Source organism: Homo sapiens, chromosome 2, assembly GCF_000001405.40.
Source record: "Homo sapiens chromosome 2, GRCh38.p14 Primary Assembly".
NCBI lineage: Eukaryota > Metazoa > Chordata > Mammalia > Primates > Hominidae > Homo > Homo sapiens.
In genome coordinates, this window is record NC_000002.12 from 189,338,961 (window position 1) to 189,360,993 (window position 22,033).

At 36.9% G+C, this 22,033-nt stretch overlaps 1 protein-coding gene across 3 annotated transcripts in view; it reads right to left on the reverse strand.

Moving 5' to 3' along the window:
• Positions 1–22,033, reverse strand: part of COL5A2 (collagen type V alpha 2 chain) — a 409,214-nt gene that overhangs the window by 307,063 nt on the left and 80,118 nt on the right. For 2 of the 3 annotated variants that reach the window (XM_047443252.1, XM_047443251.1), the window contains 2 exons: positions 9,182–9,236; positions 7,265–7,334 (listed from right to left, as the gene is read on the reverse strand). The exons of the other annotated variant lie outside the window; for it this stretch is intronic. The gene's annotated coding sequence lies outside the window, so the exon portion shown is untranslated. The remainder of the gene's footprint in view (positions 1–7,264; positions 7,335–9,181; positions 9,237–22,033) is intronic. 3 annotated transcript variants of the gene reach the window in all.

Here is a 22,033-nt window from a genome sequence, read left to right on the forward strand (position 1 = left end):
CATACCTCCTTTGATTCTGTTGTGAATCAGACTCTGCATAGATGTGGCAAAATAGATCTAGCCTAGACACATGTTTAGTGTGACTTACACAGCATTTTAGATTTTTTCAGGCGGGCACAGTGGCTCACACCTATAATCTCAGCAATTTGGGAGGCCAAGGTGGGTGGACCACCTGAAGCCAGGAATTTGAGAGCAGCCTGGCCAACATGGCGAAATCTCGTCTCTACAAAAATACAAAAAATTAGCTGGGTGTGGAGGCATGCGCCTGTAATCCCAGCTACTCAGGAGGCTGAGGCATGACAATTGCTTGAACCTTGGAAGCGGAGGTTACAGTGAGCTGAGACTGCGCCACTGCACTCCAGCCTATACAACAGAGTAAGACTCTGTCTCAAAAAAAAAAAAAAAAAAGATTTGTTTCAATTTGCTAACTGTTTAAAAATTGGAAAACTGAGCCTACAAATAGAGATTTCCAGCTTCACTTGATGCTCAGATCATCCAACTCTGGATTTACATTTGTGCATAGCAGCATCTCTTATCAAAATACCAGGGATTCAGGCTAGGTCCTGCTGCTCACCACACAGAAAGCCAATCACTGAGCCAAGGAAGAAGGCTTTATTCAGATGCTGCAGCTGAGGAGATGGAAGATCAGTCTCAAATTCATCTCCTCAACCAACTAAAATTAGGGGGTTTTACAGCAGGAAAGAAATGTAACTATGTGTGGGAAAATAGGAATTAGAGAGGGGTAAGGAAAAAGAGTTGGTCAGCAGGAAGCAGGTGGTCAGTTAGGCAATCACGACAGGTGTGGGGTCTGACATCTCATTGTCCAGATGCAGTAATTTCCTAACTTTCAGTTCCTTGGAACTATTTGGGAGGCCTGATGGTTGATTTTTCTGAGAAAGGAACTCAGATAAGACAAATATAAGTTTCTCAGGTTTTAAGACTGAGAGGATCAATGTCCATGTTTATTCAAAAGAAACCATAAACATCAGTTCTATGGGACAACTGGGCCAGTTTTAGCCCCTTCTTTCTATTTATGAATTCCCCAATCATGGGGAATCTGGCCATCAGTCTTTCTGACTGCTTCATGCTGAGAAGGGGTGTCATGGGATAAGGCTAAGAGTCAACCCACTTCTGGGGCTCTGTAGACCATCAGCAGGGTAAGGGGCAAGACCTTTTCCCAGGTAAGACTGGTCTCTTGACAACTGGGTTCCCCTTGGCCACAAGTGGCTCCATTCAGTCAGTGGGGGGCTTAGGACTTTTTGTCCCATACCATTGCTGGAGTAGTGTGCTACATGCCCCAGGTTCACCCTGTTCCTCAGTGGGACCTCTATGGCCAAGGGAATTAGAGTCAAGACTTATAGCAAATTAAATGTCCTAGGAAAGATGGGATTGGAGGTGGGCAGATACTCATAATCTTTAAAACTATTTAAGCAACTTAAGACTTAAAAACTAAAAGACAAAAAGTAAGGTTACAGTATTGTTTACAACTCCAAGGAATCTCCTTTGCCATTAAGAGGCCACACTCTGGCCTGGGAGGCCCAGCTCCCTAGGCTCCCAAACCACGTTGTGTCTTCAACCTTGGCCTAGAATGGTGAGCTCTTTTTAAGGTCTACATAAGGGCACATAAACCCATCACAAAATAAAATATATAACTAATTTTAGTACTCAAAATCTCACACATCCACCTTTTCCACAATAGTCCCTGGGCCTAAGGGGATTGAATAGTTTTCATTTCTGGCCCTGTGTCTCACAAAAGCAGCTCATTTTGATTGTCACCTCTCCTGGGTTTCTGAAGTTGAGGTTTTGACTGATGTCAGTGTTCAAGGTTTAGCAGGTGTCAGTGCCATTTGCAGACCCAGGAGTCAAAACCTGGTAACTTAGCAGCACAAGGATTAATTAATAGGATGTTTTCCAAAGACGTTTAAAGCCTCAAAACATTTGATCAAAACAGAATTACAGGTCATTGTAAAATAATAATTATTCATTTAACCAAAGTTAAAAAGACTTCCAAAACAATATAAAAATAAAGTTACAATATACGAGCACTCTACCTATAATATGCAGATAGACTACTTTGGTGTAAAATAAGTTTCTATCTTCAATATAGATGATCAAGTATAGTATATGCATTTAAGATAAGAACAGAAGCCAAAGCTTAATGAAATGTTTACAGACATATATAAGAACATCTAGAAATTTGTGGTTCAGTTTACTAATACTGCAGAAAGTCCCATAATTCTAACATGACTCTAGATGTCATGTAGAGTGACTAACATGTAGAGTCACTAACATGACTCTAACATGTCACAAATTAAAACACTGTCATTTGGTGTCTAGTAGTTGCCACCTGCTGCACTTCAAACCACTGTATTAAAGTGGTTAGGTTACTACTTCCATATGTCTAATTGCTGGCATTCTAGTGACGCAATTGTGACCAAAAGCATCAAAAATATGACAAGTCCTGTGACAAACTTATCAATGTGCAACAGTTATCATTTTTTCCATCATTAAAAAAATGGTAAAAGCAAATATCAGTTTTGGAAATTCAGTATGAAGATAAATAATCTCCTTCCACTTAAATACTATATAACAAAACAGGGACAAACTAAGAACAAGCACACAATAATTTGTTTTCAGCTATTTAAAAGAGTATCATCACTTCCAGGGCTGGTTTCTAGTGCAGCACTAACAAGTGATTAGGTGACATTCACCACTAGAATCATCAAACCAGGACATCACTTATACATATTTTGTTTTTGTTTTCAACTACACACACTAACAGTGATAAAAACCTTGAGATTAAAAATCACTAGAAAGTCTCATATTTTTAATTACTACTTAATCAAAGTGAGTATCACTTGATTTTAATAATGTTACTAAACACAACTAAAATAATTTGAGTGAAATTTGTTAATATAATTTCCTTAAGAACAAGGCCAATCTTTCCTAAACATTAAAACTTTGTATCCGTATCACAGTCTTTCCGTATTATCTAAAGAAAAAGATCTGAAACTAACTCAAATTATTGATTGAACTGAACTACCTGAAATAAGCACCATTTAAACAATTTTATTCTCAGCTACTTTCTTAAATAACAAAATAATGTACTATTTCTGTTTAGAATTTATAAAAATAAGTCAAGTCTTTTAATTTTGGCCAGAAAACTTAAACTCTTAAAGCTCTCTAGATCATTATAGGTAAGCAAAACCAATTCAGTTTTAAATGGCTAGTGTGCTCTTTTTTTTTTTTTTGGAGACTTGACAAAGGTAGCTTAGGAATTTTAGATAAATAGAACAAATGATGAACTGTTAGAAATGCACAGGAAACAAAATGACTACTATATATATAGAACCAAATACAAGCCTTCTGTTAGAAACTAAAAATACCAATAATTTTATATATATAATTTATATATTTATTTATTTGCTATTTGTTATATATTTATTTGCTATCTGTTCTCCTTTGGGTTTTACATATATATGTATAGATATGCTTATATATTTATGCTTCTATTTATTTATATATGCATATAATATATATGTATATATACATATATATAAACCCAAAAAAGTACAAATAGCAAATAAATGAAAAATGAAAGCAAAAACAAACAAAAAACCAACCCCAAATTTTTTTCTATTCAGTTTACCTTAGAGGCTACAGTGTTACAGAGAGCTAAAACACACACACACACACACACACACACACACACACACACACAATAAATATGTTGTTTTTGATACACAAATTAATGTCTTTACGTCCACCAATACCACTATACATTTTGTGTATTTGAGAAATTTACTTTAGGCACTTGGCAAGTAAGGACTTTAGTGCTAGTACCACCAATGCAGAATAGCAAACACAGTGTGAAATCAACCAACAGAAGCATTTATGTGAAAATTGACTCCCTGCTAAATCTAGCTTCATGCTTAACTATATTTAAAAAAAGATTTGCCAAAATGCCAATGTATTTCTTTACAATATTTCTTATCTTACCTTTATCAAGACTAAGAAGCTTTAACTATGAGCAATGTTAATTAGCCTAATTTCTCCAATTTCCTATCAGGTTTTTACTTTTTCATCTTTCTATTTTCTCTGTATGTGCCTGAAGACAGACATACACAGAAACAGGAGAAAAACTACATATGACTTACACAGACAATGTATGACATGCTTGAATTTTCTGCTTGGTCTTAAATTCTCTCGTGTTAAAAAAAACAGTCATTTTATTTTAGGACAAAAATTTACCATAGTCCATAATTTGAATCAACCTTTAGATAAATTCTGAATTAGACAAAATTATTCTTTTTTCATAAGGACAGAAATTCTCTGGCACATTTTATATACAGAATTATATGTTAACTACAGTTCTTATTCTTAGTAACCTTAAATTTTAGTGAAAATCACTAGGAAGTAAGAAATCCTGAACTATCAGATATTAGTATTTTATATTTGAGAACATTCTACAGTTTTTAAAAATACTTTTGTCTATATCAAAACCTTTTTTAAATGAAAATGACCAGACATCCAAAATAATTTGGATGACTCATCATCAAAATAATTAAGATTTTAAATTACACAAAAAGTTCACCTACAAGCATTTATCCTATTTACATGTACTCAATTCTTTAATTTTTTAAAGTTTATCTGGATTACTTCTGAAAACTGAGACATTAGACAAAGCTAGTGGTTAGCTCCTCGTTAACCATTTCATAACCTGAGAATATCAGGTGTTCATCTAAGTAAGAACCTTAAATCCATGGGTATTTTTGCTAATAACTCAGAAGATTCAACTGTCTTTATTAAACTAACAACATTAAATTTGTCCAAAAAGTCACACAAAGGTTACTTGTGTTTTGGCTGGGTTTATAGTTTTATAACCTTCTGTGCCAAACCCTGACACCTCAAAATATATAGAAGAGACAAATATAAAACGTAGACAAAAATGTATGCTGACAACTCCAAAGACATTTCTATTTCTATCTTAATAATTTTAAAGCCAGCTTGTTTATTAAAGAATTACTTAAATCATGTGAACTTGAAAATTGCTTGGACTTATTTACTTAATTTACGACCACTATTTATAAGCCAATTTAGTAGACACAACATATAACATAATAAATGTACATACACATAAACACATTGAAATGTGTATACACACACATAAACAAAGATCCAATAGCTTTTATCTCAGAACTCCAGCCATGAGATAGCAATAAAAACTCATTGTTTTATGAACATGTTTACATGGCTAAACTTTGCCCCAAGAGGTAATCCAATGAAGGATATGAACCAGAATGTTGGACGAAACAGTTTCCATGGCAGTTTGAGTTTTAAAGGCCAAACCTTCCCAGACTTCAAAAAACTCTCGGGTCAAACAGCATCACAGAAGAACCTCATGTACTTACAGACCTGAACCTGCTTAGAATAGCAGCATAAAAGCCTGGATACACAGAACTCCATCCCACTTTCCTGTTCAATAGCAATGAGGCTTATGGAGATGCCAAACCGCTCCAGACACCAAAGAATATTGGGAAGTATACTGACACACACACATAAACAAACAATCACCAAAGCACAATCCACCTGCTGCAGCAACAAGCAAGTCCCAAGAATATCTAAACTGAAACAGTCAGGATGCTTCCTCTCTCCATCGGTTGGGCTTGTTCATCCTGCAAATGGAAATTCTTTTGGAATTCCCCAAATTGAGAAGAGCACATCCCCCTGTCTGGTACCCACAAAAGACACTAACCTATCCAGACGCAGATGTCAAATATCAAAGGCTACTCTTCCTAGGCAATCAGGAATGTAGTTGGGGCTGGCATTAGTGGGACCAAAGAAAGAGAGACCAAGACTCACCTCCAGCCAAAAATGGGCAGGTAGCTGCTTAGGAGGGCTTCTGAAACCCTTTTGGCCTGTAGCAGCCAAGCCACAAGCAATGTATGCCTGGTCAAGGAACCAAAATGTGTTACTGAAACACCAGAGGTTCAGACTAGGTCCCGCTACTCATCACACAAAAAGCCAATTTTCTAAGAGGAGTATTGCCTGGAAAAAGGCTTTATGCATGTGCTGCAAAAGGAATTAGGGAGGGGTAAGAAAGAGGAGTTGGTCAACAGGTAGCAGGAGGTCAGTTAGTCAATCACGACAGGTGAGAGGCTATGATTCAGTTCCCCTATATTATTTGAGAGGCCTGATTATTGGTCTTACAATTTTAGATGTATAAGATAAGACAAATGTAGCTCCTCAAGTTTTAAGACTGAGAGGGTTAATTTCCAACATCAGTTCTATGGAACAATTGGGCCAGTTTCACCTTGGTATAAGTCAAGCAAGATATATGTGGATGCAGCAGCTTTCCAGCAGGCAGCTGGACATAAAGATCTGGAGTTCATGGAAGTGGTCTAGGCTGAAGATATGGATTTAGGAGTCTTCAGAACATAAATAGTAGCAGAAGGCCTGAAGGTGGGCTAAAATAGGATCATGTGGGGGAGAAAATATAGCAAGAAGGTCACAAGACCAGGAGCAGAGCTCTGAAGACCACTGATATTTAAGATTCTACCTAAGGGATATGAGAAATAGCAGTAGGAGGAAAAGGAGGATAACTTATTAGATAAGTATCTCAGGAAAAAAAGGGAGAATTTTCAGGAAGGAAGGACTGATCAAACAGTATTAATTGCCATAGAAGTGGGTCAAGTCAAAATCATAAAAATATTTATTGGATTTGGCAATATGGAGGTTACTGGTGAACCCACTGGTTGTTCAAATAGAGAAGGGGCAAGAACCAGATTGTAGAGGTTAAATAGGGAAGACTTGAGAAAATAAGATAGTTAATGTAGCCCAATTTATGCAAGCACTCCCATGAATAGAAGGAGAGAATAGTGACAGATCTAAGACAGTCAAAATGACATTAATACATTGACCTAAGTCATTATATTACATTACATTACTCCATACTAGTAAGTGTTAGTTGACTGAGTGTGGATGTATGAATAAATATTAATTATAAAGAAGTAATTGACTTTAATAGAAAGGTAACAAGTTCTCCAACACTCTTTTCCAACTTAAGTTCATCAGCATAGTACATTAATATAATGATGATTAGTTTAAAAAATCCTGGATTAGTTATTTCATTTATGCTCATTTCTTGCCAAATGCTAGCAAATGCTTGCAATGGATACATCTAAAATCATGAGCAACTATAGGCCGCTTGAGGCAAAGTAAAGAAAATTGGATTGGGGTCCACCTCAGGTTTCCAACCACTCACATGTATGATGTTGACCAAGTCTCTTCATCTCTCCAGCTCTTAGTTTGCTTTCTGTTTAATGGAGTATGAGCTAAACAAGGATAGAAAATAGACAGCAAGTCATTTCAGTAATTGTAAAACCTAACTGGAACTCCAGGATAAGATCCTTTTGCAAGGAAAAATTACTATCAATGTTCATACCAATTTTTGCTTTGGTGACATTTGGAGCTATGTATACATTTCATAAGATATACTCCATATCAAGCCATCAAAATCGTCACATATATATGACATGCTAAAAGCCCAAATCAAAAAAGCATTTTTAAAATATAAATCAGAAACACAATGGAATTAATTTATTTGCTTTTACTATTTTTAACATTACATATAATTTAAAATATATATGACTATGTACAGATATATTAGACAAGTTTAGAAAACAGAAACCAAATTGTTTCCAACAGAGAGGATTTAATGGAAGAAACTGGTTTCACAGGTGTCAGAAGGTTGAATAAGTAAAGTCACATAAAGGTAACTCAGGAAGTAGCTACAATGCCTGAGGTTAGGGAAATAAATGGGAAAAGATGGGGATAACAGGAGGAGGAGCCACCAGACCTGGTGCTCTAAGGAAGAGGCTTGGGTTGGCTGCTGCTGGCTCTCTGAGGGAAATGTTCAGGCATTTCTGGAAGTGCCAACAGGAACTGGAGGCTGGAGCCACTTCCACAATGGAGGCCACCAACTAACGCTTAGGAGAACTGCCATTTTAGAGTTGAAGCCAGCAAGAATAAAACAAATTTTAAAACAGGAAGGAAGTCTTGTCTCCTCTTCCAATCCCCATTCCTCAATAACTTCAAGTCTCACTCCAATACTTTCAAAAAGCTGCCAAGGGAATCAGAGGTATGAAATCTGCAAAGTCACAGCCCTAGCATTACAAACTAGTGTCAAAAAAGGAGGACACGTTGCTGAGAGACAGCAGGCAAATTACTTGCACAACTTTGCTTTTTAAGAAAAGTAAAGGTTAATTGCATTGTAGTTAATAGCACAAAAATTAACATTGAAGAAAGTATCTTGCAAAACATGAGAATTATGGGGACGCTTACATGAACAAATAAGCACATATAAGCAGAAAAGAGAAAGTTGTCCCATGATTAGGAACAGAAAGCAGAAAGAGGGAGGTAAGAAAAAAATATGGACTTCATGGAAAAGATTTATGTTAAAAAAGGAAAAATGACACTAATGTTAAAATACAATAATCATAATATTAAAAGTTCTATATAATTAAATTAGGTTTCAGGTATGAGAAATTGACCATTATATTGGTGCCACAAGTCATCATGAAATGTCTAAAATCTATGATTACTGGGCTTCTAGGCTCATGGCATTTGCTTTGTCAACAAGTGCCCCAGAGTTAAGATAGACCAATAGTGACATCTGCTGCCATGGACTTATTTTTAAAAGGGCCAGTCTTGACATTTGCAAGTTAAGATTCCTGCCAAACCACTGGCCTTCTGCTGTGATGAGTCAGCATTTCTGGAACTCCTGTTTGTCATCTGTGCTATTAGAAGATTTTCTAAGGTGAACACAGAACATGGGAAAATGAGAGAATGTTTGAAAATGTAACTAAAACAAACAAAAACAGTAGGGACAGAGGGAGTAAGTGACGAGACAGAAACTTCACATTGTCTTTTCACATCCTGTTTTTCCTTTGGCTAAGTAAGTCCCAATTAATCTTGCAGTTGTTAGCAAGCATAAGCATGTTTTCAGTGAAAAGAAGGATTAATTTAACTGTTGCCAGCTTCAGTAGATTCCAACCCAAAATTTACAGCATAATATTTAGACCAGAAAAAAAAAATAAAAGTCCAACAACCAAAGGAGGGTATGTGGGAAATTTTTAGAGCAACCCTTGCTTAGGAAACCACTTCCTAGCTAAGTGTTTACCTTGATTATACCTCTTTCAACATCTGCTGACCCTCTGCTTCTTCCTTTTTCCTTTCTGAAAGGCAAGAGAACATAAGGTTTGAATCAAAAATATATTTTTGATATTTAAAAAAACATATTATCACCAGTGTAAAGTGGTCAGTGTGGCTCATTTATATGAACCCACAAATATTACCTCAAGAAAATCATGAGTTAATTTATTTGCTCTAGAAAAAAAATGGCAAATTATATGAATCTCTACCCCAGTTATGAAAGAAGATGAACAAAAGAGACAGATGTTTCAGCTGATGGAGAACTGAATTAAGAGTTCTGGCTAGTACACGTTCTAGTTATGAAATAAGATGAACAAAACAGACAGATGTTTCAGCTGATGGAGAACTGAAGTAAGAGTTATGACTTCTAGTACAAGGTTCTGACCATGCCTCAATGTGTCATCTTGAGGAAATTACATAACTTCTCTGAGCCTTAGTTTTCTCTTCTGTAAAATGAAAGGATGAGGCTATATGAGGGATGAAAAAATGGGATGCAACTCATTTCCCTTCTTGGGTTAACTGGCAATAGTTGCCTATGAGTTAATTGCTGTAACTCATAAGCTGCACCCAGACTCCATGGAAAAGAGTGCTGACTAATTGGCAGGGTCTGCTGTGGACAACATAAATGTGAGCAGCTGCATGCACATCACACAGATATCAATTCACAAACAAGACAATTTATTACTTTTTCTTTAGCTGTAGATTCTGTTACCAGCCATCATTTTTAGTGCCTACTGTATTTTAGCTGTGCAAGATGCTCTAAGAACATTATTTCTAATCTTCACAACATTTTAAAGACAAGAAAACCAAGCCTCAGAAAAATTAAATAATTTTTTCAAAGCTGTATAACATAGCTGGACCCAATTACTAACATAATCTCCCAACATTCTCCATTATAAATAAAAACTTCTCATATTTTGGATCACATCCCCTAGCCCTCTCAAAACACAAAAGCTATATTATAACATAATTGTGTCTTGTCAGATGATTCCTTAATACATCTGTATACCTACCTAAAGAAAGGATAAAGGTTCAGACATGAAATTTGGCTGGCCTACATAAACATAAAGGGCAGGGGAGGAGTCTCAGGGCAAACATGGCTAAGAAAATGGTTTTTTCCAACAAACAAACTGAATGTATGCTGAAAATTAAAAGTGACAAAGGAAGGAACAATAACTAAAAGTCATGTTTAACTTTAAAGCAAATAGAATTCTACACAAATAAAATTAGAGGGATACCAAATCCAAGTTGAAAAGAACCATAAAAACAGGATACTGTGTATTGACTCAATCTGGAAAGCATAGCTGACTTAATTGGTATAGCAATCTGGGGTGTAGCAGACACACATGGATGTTCAATAAACACTATTTGATGGTGATGGTTTATAAGTAATTCAGACAATGGATTCCTGTTGAAAAATATTTTTTGAAGCTTCTTTAATTAGATACAATATCTTGTAAATGTTTTAGGTTATGTTGTTTATGTTTATGTTTAGGTTTAGGTTTAGCTTATGTTGTTTAGGTCCAGGTAAAGTAGAAAACAAACACGTTAACTTTTTATTGGAACAAACTAACTCTTCTCATCAGATAATAGAATCCTCAGAAGTTTTTAAAAGTAGCATCACAAAATTGGTCTATATTGACTAGTTACAAAATTACATACTGATGCTTTCAAAGTAAACACTTAGAAATTTACAATTGCCTTTGGAAAATTACTCAGCAATATGCATTAGTAAAAAAGCTTTAAGAAAACCAGATGCAAGAATTAAACCATGGCAGAAAAAAATGAGTGTTAGTGGTTAGATTGGATCTCATATCAAAGCACCTTGTGTTCCTGTAATTAACAGACTAATTTATTCATATTATAAATATTTATTCTTCACTTATCATGTACTCAGTACTCCAGCAGTCACCAAGAATATATTTATAAAATAAAACAGTCCTAACTTTGAGGAGTAGACATCTAATTAGAAACAGGCATATAAATAAATTAAAATACAAAGTGACAAGTAAATCAACTGGATTATATTTGACGTACATATGTATTACATGAAAGGGAAGTAATTAATTTTCTCTCATGTGATCAGGAAACGATCAGAAAGACACAGAAGTACTGGAACAAAATGAAGGTCAATCTGTTTCTTAAGACACTATTAATTGACATGTTGTTTACATAATACTAAAATAGTCAAAAATTTAAAACTTTAAGACATAGACTTTTAGACAGGCCCCACTCATATATAAGAAAGCTCTAAAAAGAATACAGTCAATAACCACACGAAAAATAAAATGTATATAATTACATAAAGCAAAGTGTTGCACTATTTTTCATCCCTACTATTCCAAGCCAATATCATTCCAAGGTGTGAAGGCCCGTCATGATAACATGCACTAAGAAAGTCAACACAGGAAAGTCCTGCAGAGTGTTATTCCACATGGCTTTGTGACTAATTATGTTTGTGGAATGAACTGAGCTGTGGTCATGGGTCACTTTCAGCCGGGCCAAGAGAATGTTTCCAGAGTGTAATTGTTCTGGGCATCAAGGCACTTTACAGCATGTTCCCAATGCCTTTTGATACTTTGTGGCCAGGAGACTGCTGAGAAAATATTATTCACCAGAATTAGACCAGACTAGTCAACCTCCTGGTTATTACATCTCCATGTCAACACAAGCCATGTCTGCAACCAAATTTACCAGATGTTTCTAATTTCTCTACCTTCTGAACTACAAGTTGAATTTTTTTTCTGACTTTGAAATATTTTAAACAAAGGACTTTCTGTGATGTCTCAGAAAAACTCACAAAATTAAAACCCTGGCTAATATCAGAATAAGAGTCCTGGCTCTCCTGCACTGCCACAGGATGGGATTTCTTGCTTCTCACTGCCTATGACATTTTCTCAATAGGGTTTTTACCAATAGGAGTCTCCTTCACTCTCTGGAGATTCCTATATGGCTAACATGTAGATAAACTTCACTAAATTCTGGAGTTAACTACACATCCTCTGTTGCTGTATTACCTAAAACAGACGCTATTTCAAATTAAGGCCTTAACATCTATACAAATCATCAACTCACATACCCTTTCAAAACAACCATTGCATTTCTAGAACATCATCCAAAGATTGTACACGTATTCACAATGAAGTTTTTGCAAAGATATTCATTACTACTTTGTCAAGACCTGGAATTTGGAAACAACCTAAGTCTTTATTAGTAGGAAACCAGTATATTTTGTTCTATGCCCACATAAGGAATAATATTGAGACCTTAAAATGATTAGACAGTTCTCTAAATATATAATAACATCAAAAATCTCCATAATAATTCTTGGGTAAAAAACAAGATGAAGAACTAGGTTGATATGTGTGGGTGTGTATGTGTATATAAATAAACAGTCAATACTTACATATATATTGTAAATTTTGTGTCATTTTGAATTTTAATTTGCTGCTATGTGCAAGTATTGTTTATTCAAAAATAAATAAATTTGGGAGAAATAAAGTAAAATAAAAATAAACAAAAAGTGAGATTTTGAGGAAAACACACAGTAAATTAATGAAAAGGGGGCAGGACGGAAGGAAGAAAAAAGGAAGCAGAAACCTAGATTCCAAAACCATGGATGGATCTGTCTCCTTTTTATTATAGTTATTATACTTTAAGTTCTGGAGTTACATGTGCAGAATATGCAGGTTTGTTACATAGGTATACACGTGCCATGGTGGTTTGCTGCACCCATCAACCTGTCATCTACATTAGGTATCTCTCCTAATGCCATCCCTCCCCCAGCTCCCACCCTCAGACAGGCCCAGTGTGTGATGCTCCCCGCCCCCTGTGATCTCATTGTTCAACTCCCACTTATGAGTGAAAACATGCAGTGTTTGGTTTTCTGTTCTTGTGTTAGTTTGCTGAGAATGATGGTTTCCAGCATCATCCATTTCCCTGCAAAGGACATGAAGTCATCCTTTTTTCAGGGTTGCATAGTATTCCATGGTGTATATGTGCCACATTTTCCTTACCCAGTCTAAAACTGATGGTCTTTTGGGTTGGTTCCAAGTCTTTGCTATTGTCAACAGTGCTGCAATGAACATACCTGTGCATGTGTCTTTATAGTAGAATGATTTATAATCCTTTGGGTATACACCCAGTAATGAGATTGCTGCGTCAAATGGTATTTCTAGTTCTAGATCCTTGAGGAATTGCCACACTGTCTTCCAAAATAGTTGAACTAATTTACACTCCCACCAGCAGTGTAAAATCATACCAATTTCTCCACATCCTCTCCAGCATCTGTTGTTTCCTTTTTAATGATCGCCATTCTAACTGGTGTGAGATGGTATCTCATTGTGATTTTGATTTGCATTTCTCTAATGACCAGTGATGGTAAGCTTTTTTTCGTATGTTTGTTGGCCGCATAAATGTCTTCTTTTGAGAAGAGTCTGTTCATATCCTTTGCCCACTTTTTGACGGGGTTGCTTTTTTCTTGTAAATGTGTTTAAGTTCTTTGTAGATTCTTAGCCCTTTGTCAGATGGATAGATTGAGAAAATTTTCTCTCATTCTGTAGGTTGCCTGTTCACTCTGATGATAGTTTCTTTTGCTGTGCAGAAGCTCTGTAGTTTAATTAGATCCCATTTGTCAATGTTGGCTTCTGTTGCCATTGCTTTTGGTGTTTTAGTCATGAAGTCTTTGCCCACGGCTATGTTCTGAATGGCACTGCCTAGGTTTTCTTCTGGGGTTTTTATAGTTTTAGGTCTTACGTTTAAGTCTTTAATCCATCTTGAGTTAATTTTTGTACAAGTTGTAAGGAAGGGGTCCAGTTTCAGTTTCTGGCATATGGCTAGCCAGTTTTCCCAACGCCATTTATTAAATAGGGAATCCTTTCCCCATTGCTTGTTTTTATCATGTTTGTCAAAGATCAGATGGTTGTAGATGTGTGGTGCTATTTCTGAGGCCTCTGTTCTGTTCCATTGGTGTATATATCTGTGTTGGTACCAGTACCAAGCTGTTTTGGTTGCTGTAGCCTTGTATTGTAGTTCAAAGTCAGGTAGCGTGATGCCTCCAGCTTTGTTCTTTTTGCTTAGGAATGTCTTAGCTATGTGGGCTCTTTTTTGGTTCCATATGAAATTTAAAGTAATTTTTTTCCAATTCTGTGAAGAAAGTCAATGGTAGCTTTACGGAGATAGCAAAGAATCTATAAATTACTTTGGGCAACGTGGCCATTTTCACAATATTGATTCTTCCTATCCATGAGCATGGAATGTTTTTCCATTTGTTTGTGTCCTCTCTTATTTCCTTGAGCAGTGGTTTGTAGTTCTCCTTGAAAAGGTCCTTCACATCCCTTGTAAGTTGGATTCCTAGGTATTTTATTATCTTTGTAGTAATTGTGAATGAGAGTTCACTCATGATTTGGCTTTCTGTTTGTCTGTTATTGGTGTATAGGAATGCTTGTGATTTCTGCACATTGATTTTGTATACTGAGACCGCTGAAGGTGCTTATCAGCTTAAGGAGATTTTGGGCTGAGAGGATGGGGTTTTCTAAATATACAATCATGTCATCTGCAAACAGGGACAATTGGACTTCCTCTTTTCCTATTTGAATACCGTTTTTTTCTTTCTATTGCCTGATTGCCCTAGCCAGAACTTCCAATACTATGTTGAATAGGAGTGGTGAGAGAGGGCAACCTTGTCTTATGCCGGTTTTCAAAGGGAATGCTTCCAGTTTTTGCCCATTTAGTATGATATTGGCTGTGGGTTTGTCATAAATAGCTCTATTTTGAGATACGTTCCATCAATACCTAGTTTATTGACAGTTCTTAGAATGAAGCGATGTTGAATATTGTCAAAGGCCTTTTCTGCATCTATTGAGATAGATGTTTTTGTCATTGGTTCTGTTTAGGTGATGGATTAAGTTTATTGATTTGTGTATGTTGAACCAGCCTTGCATCCCAGGGATGACACCAACTTCCTCATTGTGGATAAGCTTTTTGATGTGCTGCTTGATTTGGTTTGCCAGTATTTTATTGAGGATTTTCGCATCGATGTTCATCAGGGATATTGGCCTGAAATGTTCTTTTTCTGTTGTGTCTCTGCCAGGTTTTGCTATTAGGATAATGCTGGCCTCATAAAATCAGTCAGGGTGGATTCCCTCTTTTTCTATTGTTTGGAATAGTTTCTGAATGAGTGGTACCAGCTCCTCTTTTTACCTCTTGTAGAATTCAGCTGTGACTCCATCAGGTCCTGGACTTTTTTTGTTGGTAGGCTATTAATTACTGCCTCAATTTCAGAACTTGTTATTGGTCTATTTAGGATTCAACTTCTTCCTGGTTTAGACTTCGGAGGGTGTATGTGTCCAGGAATTTATCCATTTCTTCTAGATTTTCTAGTTTATTTGCATAGAGGTGTTTATAATATTCTCTGACGGTAGTTTGTATTTCTGTGAAATTGGTGGTGATAGCCCCTTTATCATTTTTTTATTGCATCTATTTGATTCTTCTCTCTTTTCTGCTTTATTAGTCTTGCTGGCATTCTATCTATTTTGTTGATCTTTTCAAAAAACCAACTCCTGTATTCATTGATTTTTTGAAGGATTTTTTGTGTCTCTATCTCCTTCAGTTCTGCTCTGATCTCAGTTATTTCTTGTCTTCTGCTAGCTTTTGAATTTGTTTGTTCTTGCTTCTCTGCTTCTTTTAATTGTGATGTTAGGGTGTCGATTTTAGATCTTTCCTGCTTTCTCTTGTGGGTATTTAGTGCTATAAATTTCCCTCTACACACTGCTTTAAATGTGTCCCAGAGATTCTGGTACGTTGTATCTTTGTTCTCATTGGTTTCAAAGAACATCTCTATTTCTGCCTTCATTTCATTATTTACCTAGTAGTCATTCAGGAGCAGGTTGTTCAATTTCCATGTAGTTGCACAGTTTTGAGTGAGTTTCTCAATCCTAAATTCTAATTTGATTGCACTGTGGTCTGAGAGACTGTTTGTTATGATTTCCATTCTTTTGCGTTTGCTGAGGAGTGTTTTACTTCCAATCACGTGGTCAATTTTAGAATAAGTGTGATGTGGTGCTGAGAAGAATGTATATTCTGTTCGTTTGGGATGGAGAGTTCTGTAGATGTCTATTAGTTCTGCTTGGTCCAGAGTTGAGTTCAAGTCCTGAATATCCTTGTTAATTTTCTGCCTCGTTGATCTGTCTAATATTGACAGTGGGGTGTTAAAGTCTCCCACTATTATTTTGTGGGAGTCTAAGTCTCTTTGTAGGTCCCTAAGAACTTGCTTTATGAGTCTGGGTGCTCCTGTATTGGGTGCACATATACTTGGGATAGTTAGCTCTTCTTGTTGAATTGATCCTTTACCATTATGTAATGCCCTTCTTTGTCTGTTTTGATCTTCGTTGGTTTAAAGTCTGTTTTATCAGAGACTAGGATTGCAACTCCTGCCTTTTCTTGGTTTCCATTTGCTTGTTAAATATTCCTCCTTCCCTTTATTTTGAGCCTATGTATGTCTTGCACATGAGATGGGTCTCCTGAATATAGCACACTAATGGGTCTTGACTCTATCCAATTTGCCAGTCTGTGTCTTTTAAATGTGGCATTTAGCCTATTTACATTTAAGGTTAATATTGTTATGTGTGAATCTGATCCTGTCATTATGATGCTAGCTGGTTACTTTGCCCGTTACTTGATGCAGTTTCTTCATAGTGTCGATGGTCTTTACAATTTGGTATGTTTTTGCAGTGGCTGGTACCGGTTGTTCCTTTCCATGTTTAGTGTTTCCTTCAGGAGCTCTTGTAAGGCAGGCCTGGTGGTGACAAAATCTCTCAGCATTTGCTTGTGGGTAAGGGATTTTATTTCTCCTTCACTTGTGAAGCTTAGTTTGGCTGGATATGAAATCCTGGGTTGAAAATTCTTTAAGAATGTTGAATACTGATCCCCACTCTCTTCTGGCTTGTAGGGTTTCTGCAGAGAGATCCACTGTTAGTCTGATGGGGTTTCCTTTTTGGGTAACCTGGCCTTTCTTTCTGGCTGCCCTTAACATTTTTTCCTTCATTTCCACCTTGGTGAATCTGAGAATTATGTGTCTTGGGGTTGCTCTTCTTGAGGAGTATCTTTGTGGTGTTCTCTGTATTTCCTGAATTTGAATGCTGGCCAGTCTTGCTAGGTTGGGGAAGGTCTCCATTCTCCCCGTCACTTTCAGTTACACCAATCAAACGTAGATTTGGTCTTTTCACATAGTTCCATATTTCTTGGAGGCTTTGTTTGTTTCTCTTTATTCTTTTTTCTCTAATCTTGTCTTCTCGCTTTATTTCATTGAGTTGATCTTCAATCTCTGATATCCTTTCTTCCACTTGATCGATTCGGCTATCGATACTTGTGCATGCTTCATGAAGTTCTCATACTGTTTTTCAGCTCCATCAGGTCATGTATGCTCTTCTCTAAACTGATTATTCTAGTTAGCAATTCATCTAACCTTTTTTCAAAGTTCTTAGCTTCCTTGCATTGGGTTAGAACATGCTCCTTTAACTCGGAGGAGTTTGTTATTACCCACCTTCTGAAGCCTACTTCTGTCAATTCATCAAACTCATTCTCCATTCAGTTTTGTTCCCTTGCTGGCGAGGAGTTGTGATCCTTTGGAGGAGAAGAGGCATTCTGGTTTTCGGAATTTTCAGCCTTTTTGCACTGGTTTCTCTCCATCTTCGTGGATTTATCTACCTTTGGTCTTTGATGTTGGTGACCTTCAGATGGGGCCTCTGAGTGGATGTCCTTTTTGTTGATGTTGATGCTATTCCTTTCTGTTTGTTAGTTTTCCTTCTTACATGCCCCTCTGCTGCAGGTCTGCTGGAGTGTGCTGGAGGTCCACTCCAGACCCTGTTTGCCTGGGTATCACCAGCAGAGGCTGCAGAACAGCAGAGATTGCTATCTGTTCCTTCCTCTGGAAGCTTTGTCCCAGAGGGCCATCGACCAGATGCCAGCCAGAGCTCTCCTGTAGGAGATGTCTGTCGGCCCCTACTGGGAGGTGTTTCCCAGTCAGGATACACAGAGGTCAGGGGCCCACTTGAGGAGCCACTCTGACCCTTATCAGAACTCGAATGCTGTGCTGGGAGATCCACTGCTTTCTTCAGAGCCGTCAGGCAGGGACGTTTAAGTCTGCTGAAGCTACACCCACAGATGCCCCTTCCCCCAGGTGCTCTGTCTCAGGGAGATGGGGGTTTTATCTATAAGTTCCTGACTGGGGCTACTGCCTTTTTTTCAGGAGGAATCTAGAGAGGCAGTCTGGCTGCAGCGGCCTTGCTGAGCTGTGGTGGGCTCCACCAAATTCAAACTTCCCAGTGGCTTTGTTTACACTGTGAGGGTAAAACCGCCTACTCAAGCCTCAGCAATGGTGGACACCCCTCCCCCTACCAAGCTCAAGTGTTCCAGGTCAACCACAGACTGCTGTGCTGGCAGCAAGAATTTCAAGCCAGTGGATCTTAGCTTGCTGGGCTCATGGGGGTGGGAACTGCTGAGCCAGACCACTTTGCTCCCTGGCTTCAGCCCCCTTTCCCAGGGAGTGAACGGTTCTGTCTCACTGGCATTCCAGGTGCCACTCGGGTATGAAAAAAAAAAAAAAAAACTCCTGCAGCTGCTCAGTGTCTGCCCAAAGGGCTCCCCAGTTTTGTGCTTGAAACCCAGGACCCTGGTGGCATAGGCACCAGAGGGAATCTCCTGGTCTGTGGGTTGTGAAGACTGTGGGGAAAAATGCAGTATCTGGGCCAGAGTGCACTGTTCCTCATGGCACAGCCCCTCACGGCTTCCCTTGGCTAGGGGAGGGAAAGCCCATGACCCCTTGCACCTCCCAGGTGAGGTGACACCCCACCCTGCTTCAGCTCACCCTCTGTGGGCTGCACCCACTGTCCAACCAGTCCCAATGAGATAAACCGGGTACCTCAGTTGGAAATTTAGAAATCACCCACCTTCTATGTCGATCTCGCTGGGAGCTGCAGACTGGAGCTGTTCCTGTTTGGCCATATGGTCAGCAGATCCAATTTACTGAATATTTTAAGCCCATTGTTGATACCTACTGCTCAGAAAAAAAAAAATCACTTCAAAATATTAGTGCTCATTTACAATGCTCCTAGTCAACTGAGAACTCTGATGGAGATGTAAAAAGAGATTACTGTTGTTTTCATGCCTGCTAACAAAACATTTATTTTGCAGCCCATGGATCAAGGAATAATTCTGATTTTCAAGTATTGATTTTAAGAAATACATTTCATAAGGCTATAGCTGCTGTATTTATGACATTTTCATGCTGTTTGGGTTGCTATAGCCTTGTAGGATATTTTGAAATTAAGTAGTGTGATGCCCCCAGCTTTGTTCTTTTTGCTCATAGTTGCTTTGGCTATTTGGAGTCTTCTGTGGTTCCATATAAATTTTAGGAATTTTTTTCTACTTCTGTGAAGAACATCTTAGGTGTTTTGACAAATATTACAATGAATCTGTAGATTGCTTTGGATAGTGTGAACATTTTAAAAATATTAAGTCTTCTAAGCCATAAGAAAGTGATACTTTCCATTTTATTGTGTGCGTCTTCTCTTCAATTTCTTTCATCAGTATTTTATAGTTTTGTATAAAGATCTTTCACTTCTTTGATTAAATTTATTCCTAGGTACTTTTTGTAGCTATTATAAAAGTGATTGCCTTCTTGATTTTTTTTTTCAGATTGTTTGCTATTGATGTGTAGAAGCACTACTAATATTTTTATGTTGGTTTTGTAACCTGCAATTTTGCTAAATTTGTCTATCAATTCTAACAGTGTTTTTGGTGGAGTGGTTAGGATTTCCTATATATAAGATCAAGTAGTGTGCAAACAGGGACTATTTAACTTCTCCTTTCCCAATTTGAATACCATTTTTTCTCTTTTTACTGATTGCTTTTGCTAGAAATTCTATTATTATGATGAGTAGAAGTGACAAGAGTGGACATCCTTGTCTTGTTCCTGATCTTGGAGAAAAAGCTTTCAATTTTTCACCATTGAGTATGATATTAGCTGTGGATCTGTCATACAAATATGGTCTTTATTTTGTTGAGGTATACTTCTTCTATATCTAATTTGCTGAGAGTTTTTATCATAAGCAGATGTTGAATTTTGTCAAATGCCTTTTCTGCATCTACTGAGATGATTGTTTGATTTTTGTCCTTCATTCCGTTAGTATGGTGTATCACATTTATTGATATGCACATTTGAATCACCCTTGCATCCCAAGGATAAATCTCCCTTGATCATAGTGAATAATCCTTTTAAATGCTGTTGAATTCAATTTGTTAGTATTTTGTTGATTTTCGCATTTCTGCTTCTCAGGGATACTGGCCTGTAGCTTTCGTTTTTGGTGCGTCCTTGTCTGGTTTTGATATCAGGGTAATGTTAGCTTCATAGAATGAGAATAGAAGTATTCCCGCCTCTTCAACTTTTTGGAATAGTTTGAGTAGAATTGGTGTTGGCTCTTATTTAAATCTTTTATAGATTCAGTAGTGAAGCCATCAGGTCCTGGGCTTTTCTTTGATGGGAGACTTTTTATTACTGTTTTAATCATGTTATACATTATTGGTCTAAACAGGATTTCTATTTTTTTCATGGTTCAATCTTGGTAGGTTCTATATGTCCAGGAATTTATCTATTTGTTAGTAGGTTTTACAATTTGTTGGCATATAGTTACCATAGTAGTCTCTAATAATCCCTTGTATTTCTGTGTTATCAGTTGTAACGTCTTCTTTTTGATCTCAGATTTTATGTGAGTCTTCTCTCTTTTTGCTTAGTCTAGCTAAAGATTTGTCAATTTTGTTTATCTTTTCAAAACACCAACTTTTGTTTCATTGATCTTTTTTAAGTCTCCATTTCATTTATTTTTGCTCTAATCTTTATTATTTATTTCCTTCTACTACTTTTATGTTTGGTTTGTTCTTACTTTTCTATTTGCTTGAGGTGCATCATTAGGTTGTTTATTCAGCCTTTCTACTTTTTGATATAGGTGTTTATTGCTAAGAACTCCTGTCTTAAGGATATTTGTCAGTAATATTCACTACTGTATGCTCAGCACCTAGAAAAATTTATGGCAAATAGGATACATTTTTAAAATTTTGTTTAGTTAAAATTTTAATTAGGATTTTGCCTATCTTAACAACATTATATTTCAACCAGTAAATAGCAGTTTCAAGCAAAAACAAAAACAAAACTCCCCTCCTAGAACTGCTTTTGCTGTATCCCATAGGTTTTGGTATGTTGTGTTTCCATTTTCATTTTTCTCTAGGAAATTTTTAATTTCTTTTTTTATTTCTTCATTGACCCATTCATTATTAGAAGTATGTTATTTAATTTTTATGAATTTATAGTTTCCAATATTACTTCCATTATTGATTTCCAGTTTACTCCACTGTAGTCAGAAAAAATACTGGATGTTATTTTGTTGTTTTTTGTTTTATTTTATTTTAACTTCTGGGATACATGTGCAAGATGTGCAGGTTTGTTACATAGGTAAACATGTGCCATGGTGGTTTACTACACCTATCCATCATCTAAATATCAAGACCCACATGCGTTAGCTATTTATCCTGATGCTCTCCCTTCCCCCACCCCTCCAACAGGCCCCAGTCTGTGTTGTTCCCTTCCTTGTGTCCATGTGTTCTCATTGTTCAGCTAATACTTATAAGTGAGAACATGCAGTGTTTGGTTTTCTGTTCTTTTGTTAGTTTGCTGAGGATAATGGCTTCCAGCTCCATCCAAGTCCCTGCAAAGGACATGATCTCATTCTTTTTTATGGCTGTTCTGTTTTTTTTTTTTTTAATTTGT